General features: G+C 40.3%; 1 protein-coding gene and 1 long non-coding RNA gene across 4 annotated transcripts in view, besides 2 other annotated features; one reads left to right on the top strand and one right to left on the bottom strand.

The window, feature by feature from the left end:
* Nucleotides 1-17881, bottom strand: part of PART1 (prostate androgen-regulated transcript 1) — a 59945-nt gene that overhangs the window by 20533 nt on the left and 21531 nt on the right. Inside the window, exon 2 of one of the 2 annotated variants that reach the window (NR_028509.1) lies at nucleotides 707-6105. The exons of the other annotated variant lie outside the window; for it this stretch is intronic. This is a non-coding gene — a long non-coding RNA (prostate androgen-regulated transcript 1). Of the gene's footprint in view, nucleotides 1-706; nucleotides 6106-17881 lie in introns of those variants that run through there. 2 annotated transcript variants of the gene reach the window in all.
* Nucleotides 4224-4483: an enhancer, noted in NCBI's record as "active region_22587". NCBI's record gives its function as "activates an Ori minimal core promoter by ATAC-STARR-seq in GM12878 lymphoblastoid cells {active_cell/tissue: GM12878}" and the evidence as "EXISTENCE:reporter gene assay evidence [ECO:0000049][PMID:35858748]".
* Nucleotides 4634-4703: an enhancer, noted in NCBI's record as "active region_22586". NCBI's record gives its function as "activates an Ori minimal core promoter by ATAC-STARR-seq in GM12878 lymphoblastoid cells {active_cell/tissue: GM12878}" and the evidence as "EXISTENCE:reporter gene assay evidence [ECO:0000049][PMID:35858748]".
* Nucleotides 4997-17881, top strand: part of PDE4D (phosphodiesterase 4D) — a 1553091-nt gene continuing 1540206 nt past the window's right edge. For both annotated transcript variants that reach the window (XM_024446112.2, XM_024446110.2), the window contains exon 1: nucleotides 4997-5074. The gene's annotated coding sequence lies outside the window, so the exon portion shown is untranslated. The remainder of the gene's footprint in view (nucleotides 5075-17881) is intronic.

The following is a 17881-nucleotide window of genomic DNA, read 5'->3' as shown; positions in this document are numbered from 1 at the left end:
AACAAATTCTTAGAGTAGGTTCTTAATAAATATTTTGTGATTGAGCATCTCAAATCTCCCAAACATTGTAGATGCTTAAAACATTTAAACACTTTTGTTTCTTTTTACCATTTTTGATTTTTTGGGCACCTTTAAGTTTTTTTTTATATGCCATCAGGCCAACATTTATAACATATGGTAGATCTGAGATGTTGTTTTACTGCCTACAAAGAATTGTTCTAGTTTTGCCTATTTATTTTCTTTTACTTCCCGATATTTCAGACACTGTTAGATCTTGCCAGAGCAGTTCTTTTGGGCTTTTGTGATACAGAATCACTGGAAAAGGTAGAGGGTTAGAAGGGCACAGGTTTGAGGACTAGGTCTGGGAGATCAGTTTTGGTGGGAGGGTATGAAGGAGAGAGGCGCATGACAGGGCTTGTGTGATGTGACGTGACCACATGAAAGGAAGGGGCTTTGTGAATTGTTGCGGCAGACTGAGATTCCTTTTCACAGCATTTGAGAAATAACAGAAAGAGAATTTGTTATTTTGAAATGACTTCCTGGCGGCTGAGTTGTTTTCATTTGATAACGACCCCTCTCTAATACCAAGTCATGGTTTGCAGTTTACGTCTTAGGGTTTTCACAGATTTTATTTGATGGTAGGAACCACATCATTTGTTCTAGATTTAGCATGTGAAATTCCCAGTAAATTCTTGGTGACAATGACTGATTGCTTCATTCATAAACATTTATTGAATACTTGCTGTGTGCCAAGCATCGTGTGTAGAGGATACAGAGATGAGCAAAAATAGGTCCCTACTCACATCATAGAGGGGAGGCCGACTCACATGCACACATTTCCAATCAGATATGGTGAATACTAGTGGTGGAAGGTTAGGAGCCCAGAGGACAGCATCTCATCCACTGGGACCTTGCTTCCTACGAGGCTTGTCCTGCATTTCATGGCCTTAAATTTCACCAATGTAGTTATCTAGTGGTGCTGATAAATCACTTATAATTAGTTTTTTATTGTCTAAGTATCAATTTTAGCTGCTGTTTTTTTAACCTTTCTTTAGTTTCTGCCTACATAATTTCCTTAGAATTAAAGCATCAATAATGGACCTTTGCAAAAATAAGCACTTTCTAACACCAATGTGCCATCCATCAGCAAAGGAGGCCATTAGCAAAGTCCAATTCATAGACTGCCTCTGATTTTGCATTTTAAACTTGCTAATATTTAGCTCACAGTGTGATTTTCCCACGGTCACACACCTAGTTGGTGGTGAATTGCCGTAATTTTGCAATTCATATTATTTTGCATGTATCTCATTTTATTTGTATTCTGTGCCAATCTCTCTGATATTGAATGTAAGTTTATTGAGTGCAGATGTCTGTGTTTTTATTTTTGTGTCCCTAGTGCCCAACATATTGTCTAGGGAGGAAAATACTTGTTAGATAAACAATTAGATGATCTATTAGGATTCTGTAGAGAAACAAAACCAATAGGAAATATATAGATACATAAGAGGAGATATATTGTGGAAATTGGCTCATGCAATTATGGAGGTTGAAAAGTCTCACAATATGTCATCTTGAAGCTGGAGAACCAGGAAAGCCAGTGGTATAATTCAGTCTGAGTCCAAAGGTCTGAGAACCAGGGGAGCCAATGGCATAACTTCCAGTCTGATGCCAAAAGGCCTGAGAAACTTCAGGGGAGAATCTGAAGTCCCAAGAACTAGAAACTCCAATGTCAGAGCAGGAGAAGATGGATGTCCCAGCTCAAGGAAAGAGAGTTCACCTTCTTCTGCCTTATTGTTGTATCTAAACTGTCAATAAATTGGATGATGCTGGCTCACATTTGTGAGGGCAGATTTTCTTTATTTAGTCTACTGATTCAAATGCTAATTTCCCCCAGAAACACCCTGAGAGACACATCCAGAAATAATATTTTACCAGCTATCTGAGCATCCCTAAGCCCAACCAAGTTGACACATAAAATTAATAATCACTGATGATAGTAATGAAAAGAAAAAACTTGGATTTCTGCTTTTTGGTCTTCATGAGATATTTTCCTCACTGTATCTCTCTTCATGAGATATTTTTCACTATATCACATGGATATATTTTCCACTTCGATATAGTAGAAAATATGCATGGAAAAATGCATCTATTATTTATTGAGCACATATTATACTTGAGGCACTCTGCTAGGCACTGTATTGAACAAAGATGATTAAGACAGTGTACCTTTCCTAAGGCACAGAAACCATAAGATAAATATACAAATGACTGTAGTGCAAGGTAGAATATACAAATGCACAACTAAGCAAATCTGAGAATGGGGCTTTCACACATTGTGGGAGAATGAGAGAAAGCTTCATGGAGGAGGTAACTTTTGACCTAAACCTTGGAGCAGGAGCACCTGAGTTCCAGAGGTTAATTAAAAAAATGAAGGCAGAGGGAGAGAGGGCAGGGTGGGCAAAGGGAAAAACAGGAAATATAAATGTGAGTCATTTTTGGAAAACTGTGGGAAGTCTCTTTTAGGTGTGGTGTATGAAGTGTGTGTATGTTGGGGGAATAGAGCAAAGTAAGGATTAAAAGTCAGGTTTCCAGGCTATGTTGCCTGGCCAAGCTCAGGGCTTTGCACTTGGTTCATCAGCATTGATATGTTTTTTGTTTTGTTTTGTTTTTTTGACAGCGTCTCGCTCCGTCACCAGTCTGGAGTGCAGTAGTGCAATCTCGGCTCACTGCAACCTCTGCCTCCGGGTTCAAGCAATTCTCCTGCCTCAGCCTGCCAAGTAGCTGGGACTACAGGTGTGTGCCACCCCGCCCAGCTAATTTTTGTATTTTTAGTAGAGGCTGGGCTTCACCACGTTGGCCAGGATGGTCTCGATCTCTTGACCTTGTGATCCGCCCGCCTCGGCCTCCCAAAGTGCTGGGATTACAGGCGTGAGCCACCGCTCCCGGCAGCACTTATGGGTTTTAAATATGAGAGTGACAACATCAGGTTATTGGGCAGCAGGAGGTGGGCCAGTTTTGAAAGGCAGGTGAATGAGGCAGTGAGATAAGTTGGGAGGGGCTGCAATAGTTCAGAAACAAGGTAGTGTGCAAGTAAATCACAGGTGGCACCAGAGATGAAGAGGAAGAGGCAGTGTGACAGCTCTGTTGCATGACACAACATGGGAAACGCAGGATTGAGAAGAGCCAGAGGTGATGATGCCATTAGCAGCGTGCATTTAGTACTTATCACAACCTATTTACATTTTCTATATAAACATTGATCTCATTAGACTGTGATCTCCTAGAGGAACAAGTCCCATGTCATTCTCATTGACAAAATGAACATGGCAGATACTTGGTAAATGTTTGCTAGTAAGTGAATGGAAGTCAGGCGAGTTGGCTTGGTGATGGCAGCTGGGGTGTTGATGGAAATACCGTGCTTCTTTTTGGACATGATGGAATTTGGGGATGTGGTCTATTTGTTAGATGCAGTTTCTAGGAAGAGATTACCCAAAGAACTGAAGAACAATGACAAACTTATGTGTATGTGAGGGCAAGATAAAGAGTAGAGAGATGGTATAGTTGGGTATGGAGAGAATGCTGTAACTGAACTGCTCCCTTCAAGATGTCAGGTAAGATTGGAGAGAAAATGCAGGATAGCATTTGTCACAGGTAGTTGGAATGTGGAGGGAAGACTGGAAGGATGAGAAGGACTGAGGTGGACCTGTGGGCTGTGTTAGCCGGTGAAAGTTGGAGGGAAAGGGAAATGGGAGGCAGTAGAGCATGGAGTTACATATGCAGGCACTGGAGTCAGGCTGTTGGAGTTCAAAGGCTAGCTCTTCTGTGGATTTGTTATGTGACTTTACACGCTCTCTCTTGCCTCAAGTTCCTCTTCTGCAAAATGAGGTTAATAATAATACCTGCATAAACACATGCACAGCACACAGAACAGAAGCTGGAATGTGATAAGCACTTCATAAGCATTAATTCTTCTTACTGAAACTCACTAGGGTCACTTTGTGCATATTATCCTATTTAATCCTTAGTAACTGTATAGGTAGGTGTTATTATCTTCATTCTGCAAATGAGAAAACTGAAGTGCAAAGAAGTTTCATAATTTTCCTCAATCCACACAGCCACTATATGATGTGATAAAGCTTACCTAAGCTAGAGTCTTACCTGATCCATCTGGTGCCCGGGCTAGTGCACTTTCTCCTATAACACTCAGCCTAAGCTAGGTAGATATGGCAAGACCACTGGCTGAGGCAACTCAGATGTGATCAATAGGTAGTAGGGAACTGTGGCTGACTTGGGGGCAGGGGAAGCAGCATGCTGGAAAGATTCATCTGGTATGTTTATAGAAGAGAGCAGGCAGCAGGCATGGGGGGCTGATGATTCAGACCAGAAATGGCTGAGGAAATGGTGAGGTCTGGCAAATGTCAGAGGAGCTGTGATAGAAGAATGAGCAGAATTTATGACTGATGCAAATAAGGTAGATATGATGGTACGTGACAGAAACTGACTAAGAAGTCTGTATGCAGTGGGTGCAGCTTAGAGTTTCAACTTGAAAGTTTCAAACCTGGGACTCTAAGAAAATAGTCTGAATGGTAATGAGAAAGTTGTCACTTTAGTATCTGCTTCCCTTGAAGAAAAGCACCTTTAGAGGAACCAACTTGGAGAATAGTGTCGCATCAAAGTGGGACACTTCATTATTTTTAGTGGCAGCATGGTTCTGATGAGCACACCGTCGGTAACCTTTACTTCACTGTCAGTCCAGCTCTGTCAATCCTCCTTTATTAAGGAAGGAAGCTGATGGATCTTTCCTTTCTTTCTTTCTTTCTTTCTTCCCTGGAGTAGGATGTTTTCTGTACACAGTTAGCATGTGAACTTCTTTTTAAAAAGAAGTTTACATTTTACTCTAATTCTCATCCATAACGGAGTGTGGTGATTTGCATTTGGGCAGTTAGGAAAATCAGTTCTGTTGACTTCCTGTTTTCTATTTCTGGCCTCGAGCAGAACTTCCCATTTGAGTGGGACCAAGAAGAGCATACAAAGCTGAAATGTTCTCCAGAAGTTGATTTCCAATGGGGATAAAGTAAGTTAATGGTCTGAGGTGTTTGTCTCCCCTTGCCCCCGAAGCTTGCCCTTTAGTTGCTCTTGTTTTTAAACTACAGGGAATGAACTGAGGGAAGCATTTTTTTTTTTTTTTTCCTGCAGGTCAGAGTCCCAAAGCTTTAGTGCAGGGTTCCAAGGACTCAGGAGTTCAAAACATGCTGCTTAGGCTGAGCTCTTGGCCAGATTTGGAGATTCCAATGTCTTCTCCCTTTGACAGTTCCTAAGAATATTTTATTTGGATCCTTTTCTTTAGGTTTTTCTGTCTAAACATTTTATTTTACCTAGTGTGAAGGGGTGAGGGAGGGCAGATTGTTTCCTTTCTTCCTCCTCTCCCCTTCCCCCTCCCCTCTCCCTTATTCTCTGTTTATAATTTAAAAGGATGCTCACTTTCATTTTCTCATTTGCTTCCTTCACAGCACCCTGTGAAGCTGATATTGTTATCCCCCTTTGACAGAAGGGGAAACTGCAGTTTCAGTGAATTTCAGTGACTTAGTCAAGTCACTCAGTTAACAGTGCTGAGAGTGAAGCCCTAGTGTTCTGCCTTTAGATCTCTTTTTCCCAGTACCATACTGCTTTTCTGGTGGAGGTTGTAGTATATAGGATGATGTCAGAAAGGAGAGGCTGGGAAGCCTGAAACGATCACATCGACAATTGAATTGTCTGTTTTTTCTAATAAAATAGAAAATGTTAACTAAATATATTGCCATGCAATTCTTCAAGCATATAGGACTTTGGGTCCTTTTTTGTGTCTCAGACTTTAAGATGATGTCTCCTGGGGAGTCATTTACTATATGCAAGGAGAATAGCTGAAAAGTCAGGGTAGGCCAGCAGTATTTCATGCTTTGTACTTGGGCAATATGGGTTTTTCTGTTGGAGGTTCAGCAGAGGATGGTAGCAAAGTGACATTTAATTCTCCTGCTTGCCAAATCTTGGTGAGGCCAAAGTGGGTGGGGGAATCGGTTGTGAGTAGGTGTTAATGACGAGTGTCTGGACCTTGACGTCTTCTCAGTCCTGGAGTAGGGAAAAAGGAACAGAATTAGTGCTGTTTAGAAGAAGCTGGTGATGGAGGTCTGCTTAGGAATGAGTGCAGATTAGGACAGGGGCAGTGAGGGAGGCCCACAGAGACTCTGGCTGCCTGTCTTTCCTGGCATGTCTGTGGAATGACCTTGCTCTGCCAGGACTCTGGGAGGAAGCCTTTGATTTTGGGGGAATCTTTAGGACTATGCACATAACCAGACTTTCCTGATGGGAATCTCCAAGGGGGCCTCCTGGGCCAGGGCCGTGGGCCAGCAGGTGTCTTCCTAACATGGTCTGTGAATAGTGCCCAACCTAGGCGGTGCCTTCTTTTCCTGAATCAAGCCCTTTCCTCCTCAGTGCCAAAGCAGAAGTGGCTGGGTGGGTGAAGATCTGAGTGCTGGCCCGGGGCCACAAGCCATGGGCCACTACCCATATTGCTGTGAGATCCTGACCTTTCTCTTTTCTGGACTCACAAGATAAAGAGAGTGAATGAGGAGGAAAATCAAATATTGTGGCAGGGAGGGGCTGACAAACACAGGCATGGCCAACAGAAGTCTCCCACCAAAGTGAGGAGCTGAGAGAAGGATTTGGGGAGGGAATGTCAGAAGTCTCACTCCCAGGCAAAGGATTCAACAAAGGAAAATCCGACTCTGGCTTGAATATGGTCCAGGTGTGGGGTTAGTAGTCCATGTTACTGTCTGACATGGGAGAGCATTCCACTGTGATGGAAATGGGGTGGGTTGGGGTACAGGAGGAACCATAGAGGTAGAAGAGAAAGGAGGTGAGAAGGAACATAGTCTGGCAGTTGACCAGAGTGTATCTGGCTGTATGGTGTAGTCCCCATAACAGGGCACCTATGTCTGTACATTGCACAAAAACAACCATCCAGTGTGTTCTTAAAAGTCCTGTGAAGGTACATTGTAATTTGAACTATATTTTGAAGATATCAGAGGATCCTATCATTTAGAAGAATCTCATGGGAATTACTTTTTAAAAAGAAAATAATCATTTTAGGGAATAGAAAGTCTCTCAACGATTGGTTTTGAATCTCTGGGTTTTAAATCCATTTACTCCAAGTAGGATTCAGTATTTCACTCTTTCACTGGCAGTGGATTGTTTTTTCTCCTACATATATGGCTTGAAAGCTCTTAACAAAGGATAGTAATTAATTATTTCCCAGCTATTTTTACCTTTGACGTATTAAAAGTTGGAGGAAACTATTTCATTTAACAGAATTTAAACAAAATGAAAAAGTTATTTTCCTTAAGGTATTCTGCTGTGCTTTTTCAAGGAAAAGCCTCCTCCAAAGGCACTTTTGGAGACAGTTACCAAAGGAAAATCCCACCCACCAACAGAGACACTCAGCCTCTAAGTTTGGCTTTTGGAAAATGAACACTATTCTTTTTTTTCCAAACAGGACGCTGTGAGATCAGTCATGTACACTATGAAAATAATTGGTGTGCATTAGTACACCTTGTGCCAGATTTCATGCTTGTTGAAAGGTGATTGGATTCAAACCAGCACATTTAAAGGTCAACTGGTTGTTCTTAAACTGTGCAGAATTTTAACTCTTTCATTATAATGGATTTTAACCAAATGGCCATTTTAGGAAGGAGAGAGACTGCATACTGTGTTTTAACTTTCTGACCTTTTTGTTCTTAAATTTTTTGTAAAGTTCTCAGGGATTTCCTATGGATGGAAAGGGTCTGAGAAATCAGTTCTCAGCTGGCATTTGGAAAAGGGTGGAAGTAGAAACTGAGTTCTTTTTAAACTGCTAAATTTAGGTCAGGGCTTTAATACGACTGTGCACATCACATAAGCAATGTCTAAATGTCAGGCTGAATGTTCTCTCTCTTTTAAATAAGTACTTCAAGTTCGTTAGTAATAGCTAGCCCTCTGTCTCTTTCTTGCTTCTCCTCTCACCTTTGAGCAACTTTTTAAGTTCCTTTAACAGCTCTGTGGAGAAACCACCATGTAATGATCAATATTTAACCCAGTTGGTTGACGTTAGCCCCGTTTCTGGAATGGGTATTTCACTGGGCTTTGGGGTTTTGATGACGTTTTCTCCCCAGTGACTGTGGATGCATGGATTAAATTTGTTGGTCTGCAAAATACCATCTGTCTACCAGCCATTTTGCTGTATTTCCCAAAATAAGGTAGGAGACTGATGTGTCTCAAATAAGCAGGGTGAAATTTAGTCATCTGATGATAGTTTCTTGGGTTGTGCATTAGTGTCCTGATGAGCCCCTAGCAACTTTCAACATTATGAAGACTAGTTTGGAAGCCTCAAAGGCAGTATCTTTCTTGAAGAAAAAAAAATAACACCAGGCATTTCCACAAATACCATACACAAGTGGTCAGGTAAAGGCTGTGGGAGTTCACGCATCTGTTTACCTTGAGTGTGTGTATGAACTCTTGTAGTTCTAACTAAAGGCAAATGGAAACTGTATAGAGTCCCATTTTGTCAAGCTGACAATTCAGTATCCTCTTCTTTCCTGGTTGCTTTATAGCCCACTCTTAGTTGTTCTCTTTCTATATTTCCTACAATTTTTAGCTGTGAGGCTGTGTATTCGTTGCTTAAAAATTCTGTGCCTCATCTGCTTCACTTGCAAAATGGGGAAAATGTCACAGGATCCTTGGGGTGTTGCTTTGCCAGCCAGAAACCTTTGTGGCTAATGGTGCCTTTGCCTGAGTTTTGCTCGGGCCCACTGGGCTGGTTCTGCCCACTCAGCCTGGGCAGGCTGTGCTGGGCTCACGCTACTGGCCCAGATCTTATGCCTGCCAAGGGTGAGCCAGGCACAAAAAGGCAAGGGGTATGTGAACAAGGGAGCTGCCCATTGTGCACAGCCAGTCATGCCAGCTGAAGCAGGGCAGGCAGCTCCAGATGCCGACACAAGTGCTAGCTCCCTGTGAGGCTGTGGCTGGACCAGGTGTACCACAGATGGCTTCCACTGCTGGCACCCGGGAATGTGGTGGTGCCTGGAAGCTTGGAGACGCCAGGAACTACAGAGCCCCAAAGAGGGTGTCACATCCCTGGCTTGGGGAGCTCCCAGGTCTGGGCTCCCTGAAGGGCTGCAGTTCCTCTCTTCTTCTCTCTTCTCTCCCTCTTCTCACCTGCAACATGGCAAGCAAGGGGTGTGTTTCAGCCCTGTTTGTGTTACAGCTCTTTCAGTCCCACCATTTAGTGGGTCCCAAGTTCTTGTCCTGTGTCCTGGAAGAATGAGGTACAGGGACAACTGGAGGGTGAGCAAGGCAGAGAGGAACTTTATTGAGCGACGGTACAGCTCCCAGGAGACCTGAAGTGGGTAGCTCCTCTCTGCAGGCAGGTTGTCCTGTCAAGCCTGCAGCTCTCAAGAGAGAGGAGACCCACAGTGGGTAGCTCCTCTCTGCAGGCAGGTCATCCCTTCAAATGTGCAGCTCTCAGGAGAGAGAAGACCTACAGTGGGTAGCTCCTCTCTGCAGGCCAGTTGTTCCAACCTCTGCCCAGTCTGGCTGAGTCCAGGGAGTTTTATGGGCTTCAGAGAAGGGGAAGTGAGTGCTAATTGGTCTATGGACAGCTGTGGGCAGCGTAAGTTCTCACTCCAGTCTGTGGAACTAGCAGCCTGGCCCCCAGGCTTCAGGCCATCCCAGGCCTAACGGTGGGGCTTCACGGAAACTGCCCCTTTCTGTCCAGGAGTCCGTCTGCCTCCCGCTGCCATCAACCTGCTGCACTGGCACCCAGGCTGTTCATGCCAAGGGGCACCTGCAGCCCATACTGAGCCACTCTCAGCTCCCCCTTGGCCCCCCTCCCATGCTCCTTGGTGCACAGAGTCTGGAGGGGGCCGAGGCAACAGGGGGCTGGTGTGTCAGTGGTACTCTGAGCACGGGCATACACAGCTGGGTCGTGACAGTGCCCCAGCTTGCACTTAACTTTGCTCTGAAATTGGAGTGGGAGCTAGGAGTGGGGAGAGGCTGGGCAGTGGGAGCAGGCATTTCTGAGCCTGTGGGGGTAGGGGGGTTTCCTGGGCTTCTGAGAGTACAGGGATGCCTGGGTCTGCACCCACAGCTGGGTGGCTGCAGCTGTGCCCAGGAGGGCAGGACTCCCACCCCTCACACTCAGAAGTGGGTGGGGCTTCTGCCTGTTCCCAGCTCCCAACAGCTCCATGGAATGTGCAGCCCTGGCTGCGCCTTGCCTGCTGCAGCTGGCGTCTTCTCAGCAGCCACTCCAGATGGGCCACCACTGTCATCAATTACATTACCTACCTTAGTGTTATTGTGAAAATTAAATGAGTTAATCCATGTAAAATGCTGGGAACAATGTCTGGCATAACATAGAAGCTCAATAAATATTAATTCTCATTATTGTTGGTATCATTTTTGCTATAATTTGAATCTTTTACATATTGTTGTGACATATGGAGGTTTTTGACCTACAGGGTTTCTTCTGAGTGGCATAGCTCAGGGTAAAGTGGCTCTCCTCACCTCTCAATACCCTACTGTCTTTTGCCTAAATTCCAGTTAAGGATGGCTAGAGACATCATATGGGAAAGGGTGGTCCTGAACCAGAGAGATGGGAGAGCAAATTGCTAAGGTGGTTCTTGAGGGTAGGGATGGAGAGCCAGACAGAGACAGGTGTCCTCCAGACAGCTGTCCTTTATCATTCACTCACTGCCTCTGCAGCTCCTGCTGCCTCCTTCAGAAAGCGAATGTATGTTGCCTCTAATGCCCTTCCTGAGCTAAAGCCCAGTAGTTCTCAAACATCCTCTTTCAAAGACACTGAGCCCTGGTAACCTTCATTACATTGTTGTTCTCATATTTTTCTCAAGTTAACTCACTCATAACCTACAGTTTCTTATTACATTGATATATTGATTATGAATCTTTCACCATTAACTTTTGTTCATTTCTATTCCATCGCAAACTTAATATTCACAAAACAGGCTTAATCTGAGCACAAGTGAAATGGTATAGCTGCGAAATACCTGGCAGTGGTAGGTACTAGGTGTTATAACATGATGACACTTAGAATTTATAGACACTTAGAGCATAGTTTTTCAAATATTTTGGCTGTAATCAATAAGAGATAGATTTCACATCACAGTCTATACAGATGTACATTTATTTATATGTATGTATGTAGGCATAGCTTAAGCAAAAGTGTCATGAAACAATGTTCAACCTATTGCACACAATGTACTTTCATGATTTGTATTCTCTTCTTTTTTATTGAAAATGAGTCTGGTTTGTAACCCAGTAAACACATAACCTACAGTTTGAAAAACCCTGATCTAGAGGAACATCCAGTGGGTGCCTCTTGAGTTCTTACGCACTATCCACATATCATCCGTATCATACATAATGGGTTGTGGCCATCTCAGTTTTATTTTGAGGCACTGCCTCTTCTCATCCTGACAGAAAAAAAAAAAAAAAAAAGAAAAAGAAAAGGAAAGAAAGCTCAGATCAAGAACTAACACCTTATCTTAAAACATATAATCTCTCCTTTACCTTATGCTCTTTCCTAATAACTATTCTTTTTCGATTGTCCAAAAGAAACCACTCTAATAACTTATAACACCATGTATTAGAAATTTAGAAACCATTTTTGAAAGACAGTAAAGATGTAAATTAATGGGGGGACTAAATTATGCATGGATAGAAAGACTATTTATTATAATGACATCAGTTCTCCCATAAAATCAATGATATTTCAATAAAAGGGTCAACAGTCTTTATTTTATAATGGAGACTCACAATCTTATTCCAAAATTTATATGGAAATGCAAGTAGCCAAGAAGAGGCAATATAGCCCTAAAGTAAAAGAACACGGAGGAAAAACTTAAAACTATCTGATATCAATACTTACTATAAAGTACAATACTTAAGTGTGGTACTGACACAAAGAAAAATGGTTCACTGCAGTGATCATATACATCTTTTGTTAGATGTATTTGTATGTATTTGATATTTTTGATGCTGTTGCAAATTTTATTGTTTTGTAATTTTTACCCTGTTGCAAGTATCAGAAATACAGTTGATTTTTCTATCCAGCAAACTTGCTAAACTTTGTGGTTAATGGAAACACTTCAGCTATAGATTCTTTTCAATAACACAATCACATTGTCTAAGAATATTTTTATTTTGCTTATTCTTTTTCAATCCTATGCCTTTTCTTGTTTTCCCCCCCTTGCTTTATTGCTTTGGCTGAGATTTCCAGTGTCAAATAGAAATGTTGATGGTAAGCATTTTTTTCTCATTCCTGATTTCAGAAGAAAAGCTTGTAGCATTTCAATATTGAGTTATTTTTTTTGTGGTGTTAACAATTTTTTTTGTAAACACCTTTTATTACATTTAAAGAGTTTTCTTCTGTTTCTAGTTTGCTAAGAGTTTTCTTGTTAGACGTTAAATTTTATCAAATGGCATTTCTGAATCTGTTGATATAATAGAAATTTCTCCCTCATTCTGTTAATCTGGTTAACTATATTAAATTGATATTTTGAATGTTAAACCAACTGTATTAGTCTCCAACCTTGTAGTAACTAAACTGAATTTAGTTACACTGTGTTTCATTACTGGATTCAGGTGGTTAACATTTAAGATTTTGCACTGTCACATGTAAGAGAGTTCTGGCTTGACTTTTCTTTTCTTTTAATAACTTTGTTGGGTTTTGGTGTAAAGGATATGCTGACTTCATAATACAAGTTGGGAGTGGTTCCTGTTTTTCTCTTCTCTGTAGAGTTTATGTAAGATTACTGTTAATTCTTCCTTATCTGTTTGGCAGAATTCAACAGTGAATCGTCCATTTCATATAAACAAGTTTATTTGCTTAAGGTTACTCAGAATATAATTTTAATATATCTGAAGGATCTTCAGTTAATGTCCCTTTTTCATTTCAGATATTGGATATTTGTACCTTTTGTTATTTCCTCCTTTATCAGTCAGTCTCACTAGGGGCTTATCAGTTTTATTAGTCATTTCAAAGAACCATCTGTTGGCTTTTTATTGATATTCTTTATTGTATGTTTTTAAAATTTTCATTGATTTCTATTCTTATATTATCATTTCATTTCTTCTTTTTCTTTGGACTTAATTTGCTGTTCTTATATAATTATAATTATATAATTTATTGAAATATATGTTAAGATAATTGATTTTTAGGCTTTATTCTCACTTAATATTTACATTTAAGACTATACATCTCCCTCAAAGGCTGGATTTAGCTATATGGCACAAATTTTCTACTGTAGGATTTTCACTTTTATTCAGTTCAAAATGTTTTCCAATATCTGTTTTGATTTCTTCTTTGAGCTACATGTTCTTTATAAATATATTACCTAATTTCTAAATATATGGGGATTTTCCAGTTGTCTTTTTGTTATTGATATCTAGTTTAATTCCACTTTGGTCACTTTAAGAGAATTTGAATTCTGCCATTACTAGGGCTGTGTTCTATATATGTTGAAGTTTTAAAATCATGTTGTTCCCATTTTCTCTATAACTGGTGACTATTTTCCCACTTATTAGTCTGTTACAAGAGGTGTGTTAAAATGTCTTATGATTTGTGGGATTATCAGTTTTTGTAATTCTGTTCATTTTTGCTTTAAATAATTTAAGCCTCTGTTATTAGGAGCATATACTTTTAAAATTATTATATCTTCCTAGTAAATTCAGCCATGTATTTCCTCCTCTTTATCTATTAATGTTTTGTCTTAAAATCTACTTTGTATGGTGTGAACATGGCTACTTCAGCTTTATTCTGGGGTAGTGCCTGCATAGCGACCTCTTTCTATTCTTTTCACCTTCAATCTTATATATTTAAGAAATGTCTCTTGTAAGAAACATATAGCTTTGTTTAATACAGCCTGGCAAATTTCGTCTTTTGAATAAAATCTTAATGTTTGTGATTTATGTAATTATTATATTTGTGTTTTGTTTAAATCTATCATTATTATTTGCTCTCCATTTGTCTCATCTTTTGTTTCCCCTTTTTTAAAATCTTTTTTACTTTCTTTGTCTTGAGGTTTAGAAAATTTATTATTATTTTCCACTTTTCCTGCTCTGTTGACTTCCACCACTCCCAACTTATACACTTCTGTTTATGTGTTTTCATTTGGCATCAATATTAACCCCCTCAGGACATTATTATCAAAGACAGTCAATATCTATTTAGATATACCCACATAGTTAGCCCCCTTTTTGACTCCTCGTTTTTTCTGTATCTCAGTTTCCCAGCTGCGATCATTTCTGTCTGCCTGAAGAGTACCTGCAGTGCTTCCTTGAGTACGTGAAAGCTGCTGAGGAATCTCTCAGCTTTTATTTTTCTGAAAATGTCTTTATTTTAGCTTTGTTTCTGAAATACATTTTCACTTGGTATAGAATTCTAGGTTGAATTTCCTTTTCCTTAGGCATTTGAAGATGTTTCATTGTTTTCTGCTTCCATTGCCATCCAAAGTCTTCTAAAACTTCCCTAGGTAGGTAGGTAGAAATATTTAACTCAAAGGATGAATAAAAATGTATCCACAAACCCATACTTCTTTTTTTAATGGGATTTAAAGTTTATAGATATTTAGTATAAAGTATTTTTACATCTGCAGATTGAATGCAGATGATCAAAGGAATCAAGTATTTGATGATTCAAAATAGAGACCTTTGTTTTACATATAGACTAAGGGTTGGTCCAGGACTATCAAAACAATTCTAGGAAGTATTTTTCTAACTCTTGAAGAGAGAGAGAGGGAGCATAAAATGTACATAAACCTAAGTTAAAAGAAGTATGTAAAAGTATGTTAAAAATAATGCAAAAAGCATATATGCATATATTTTGCTTGAACTTGATTTCCACTGACTTGGAGTAGTTCATTCTCTAAGAATCTCATGTCATATTATTTTATATCTTTCTCATTTGTGAAGTCATTCAAGAGATCCTGCCTTGTATGTGTTTTCCAGATAATTTACACTTTTATTTTTACATAGATGTTGATTAGCTGTGTTTCATTGAATATTCTCAGTTTTGGGTATCAGTTTTCAGCAAAACAACTAAATGTGACACCTTCCTACTGAGCATATTGGGTCTATACGTGTGCATTTGACTTACGACTTATATTTTCACCTAAAAAATATTTTGGATACAATATTAAATTCTTTTAGCATTAATAGAGTGCTTGAAATATGAACTTAGTGCTTTTACTTTTAAAATATTTTAAAATTTTGATATTTAAAAATTTGATATTTTAAAATATTTTTTCTGTACTAAAATGCACTACAATATAATGTGACAATTATGAATATGGATTTTAGATTAAGACAAACCTGGGCTGGAATAGTAGCTCTGTTCCTTACTAGTTGTGTATCCTTGGAAAAACAACTCCAACTTTCTAAGCATTAGTTTCCTTATCTGTAACACAGGGTCCATAATTTCTACCTTACAATGCTGTTTTAAGAATAAACGAAGTGGGAAATGAGTTAGTATCATATTCATATATGGCAGCCATTATTATTATTATTATTATTATTATTATTAAATTTCTATAGTATGTTATTGCCTAAGTTTGTTCATAGAATAATGTATTGGCAAATAATATTCCAGTAGGAGAATTATTCTTATAAAATAAATTAAAGTAACTTACTTTATTCTTTAGAGTTTACCAAGATAGGTATATTTAGTGAACATGGGAGTCAACAGCTTATAATAAATTCTGTATTCTTAATTTAACAAGCATTTATTGAGTCTCTAACAACAAGCTTAGCAGTGTTTAAAACACCATGGCAGGGCTGGGCATGGTGGCTTATGCCTGTAATCCCTCACTTTGGGAGGCCAAGGTGGGAGGATCACTTGAGGTCAGGAGTTCGAGACCAGTGTGGTCAACATAGCAAAGCATCGTCTCTACTGAAAATACAAAAATTATCTCGGCATGGTGGCAAGCACCTATAATCCCAGCTACTTGGGAGGTTGAGGCAGGAGAATTGCTTGGATCAGGGAGGTGGAGGTTGCAGTAAGAACTCGCCACTGCACTCCACTCCAGCCTGGGCGACAGTGCAAGACTGTCTCAAAGAAACAAAACAAAACAAAACAAAACAAAAAAACTACCACGGCAGGAGGAATTTCAAGCATGTGAAAGCTGTTACCAAGGATAATTGTGCCTCCATCACAGGTGTCTGCCTCTCCCCATCTCTGCTGTCAGTGCTGGAACCCACACAGTATCACTTGTCTGGGTTTTCACAGTAGCTGCCTTACCACTTAACTCCCATTTATTGTCTCTCCAATCCATCCTTTATACTTTTTCCAGAAATTATCTTTCTAAAACAAAATCATGCCATCATCATTCACACATTCATAGACAGCTGTTGTCTGTGGAAAACACTTCAGCCTCATTAAGATGTAAGGCCCTCCGTACTCTTGCCCTTCCAGCTGTATCACCTCCTGTTTCCTTTCCTGCAGCCTATACTCCGGCCATAGGACTAATTGCAAATCTCCATTAGTACCGTGTCCTTCCCAGCTGTTATTTTAGCTAGACATGTTTTTTTAGCCATTTCTTGCCTCTCAAAATTGTACTCATTCTTTAAGATATAAGAGAAACACCATCTTATCTATAGTCTCCCTAGATGTAGAGGATGAATTCGAGTGTTAAAAGCAAGAGGTGGGCGTTGTAGTGTTCTAAGGTAGGGAGACTAGGTATAGAAAGAAACCTTGAGATGGAAACCAAGGACAGAGAAACTTTTGCAGAATGCTGTCTCTGTGGGCTGCCTGCCCTGTCTTTCAGCTGGAAGTGGTTCTTCCTTTCTGTGTTCTCTTTCTCTGATGGGCTGCTGAGAATTATTGCATGTAGGAAGCCAGAGAATGTCTCACTGTTCTCCCAGCAGCTGCTGCTTAGGGCTCTCTTACTCCACTCTTTTTTGATTCCCTGGTCTCCTGCAGAGCCATTTATTGTCTGGACCTTCCCTATACGTTGTCTTCCCCTTAGCTCAAGGCCTGGCCTCTCCTTATCTCTCCTCAGAGTTTGACTTCTGATGGGATCTGTTGTGCTGGAACTAGCTGTGATGTTTCTCTTCTTCCTGCTTCACCTATGGGTTGGTTCCTCAGCCCTTATACTGGTCCCACTGGCACCAGCCCTGACCCGATTAATTCCCTTTCATCGTCCTCCATACCCAAAGGTCCTGTCTTGGACCAGGGAGGCTCACTGGGCCAAGTATTCATCACAAATGTTAATAAATATAACCTAATTTTAAAAGAAATATCTCCAAAGAGTGTAGCCTTCTAGGAGACTGAGTACAAAAAAAAGAAAGGGGTGGAGCAGGACAGAGTATGAAAGAAGACTGCAAGAAAAGGTCAGGTACAACTGGGAGAGAAAAATGCAGAAGCTGTGGGCATGCAAGGCCAGAAGTGTAGCCAAGAAGCAGGAGGTGAAGTCAAAGGTGGATGAAGGGAAAGAAAGATGAAATGAGAGAAAAAATCCTAGGAGTCTTAGCATTGGAGGGGGAACTCAGGTGCGAGAAATGATCTAATAATAGTTGAATGGAGAGAAAATCAATGTATGGTCAATCTTCATTATCACAGATTATGTGTTTGCAAATCCACCTACTTGCTAAAATTTATCTGTAATCCCAAAAGCAATCCTTGCGGCGCTTCTGCAGTCATTTGTGGACGAGCGTGAAGCAGTGAAAAATTTAAGCAGTGCCACATGTGTATTTCCAGCTGAGGGTGAACAAGGGATGCTCAGCCATCGTGTTTCAGCCCTCATGCTGTAAGCGAGGGTCCTTTCCATGATACGTTTAATGCTGTGTTTTTGAATTCTTG

The sequence above is a fragment of the Homo sapiens genome, chromosome 5 (genome assembly GCF_000001405.40).
Source record: "Homo sapiens chromosome 5, GRCh38.p14 Primary Assembly".
In the NCBI taxonomy this organism is placed as follows: Eukaryota; Metazoa; Chordata; class Mammalia; order Primates; family Hominidae; genus Homo; species Homo sapiens.
This window is presented reverse-complemented; position numbering and strand designations above follow the sequence as displayed.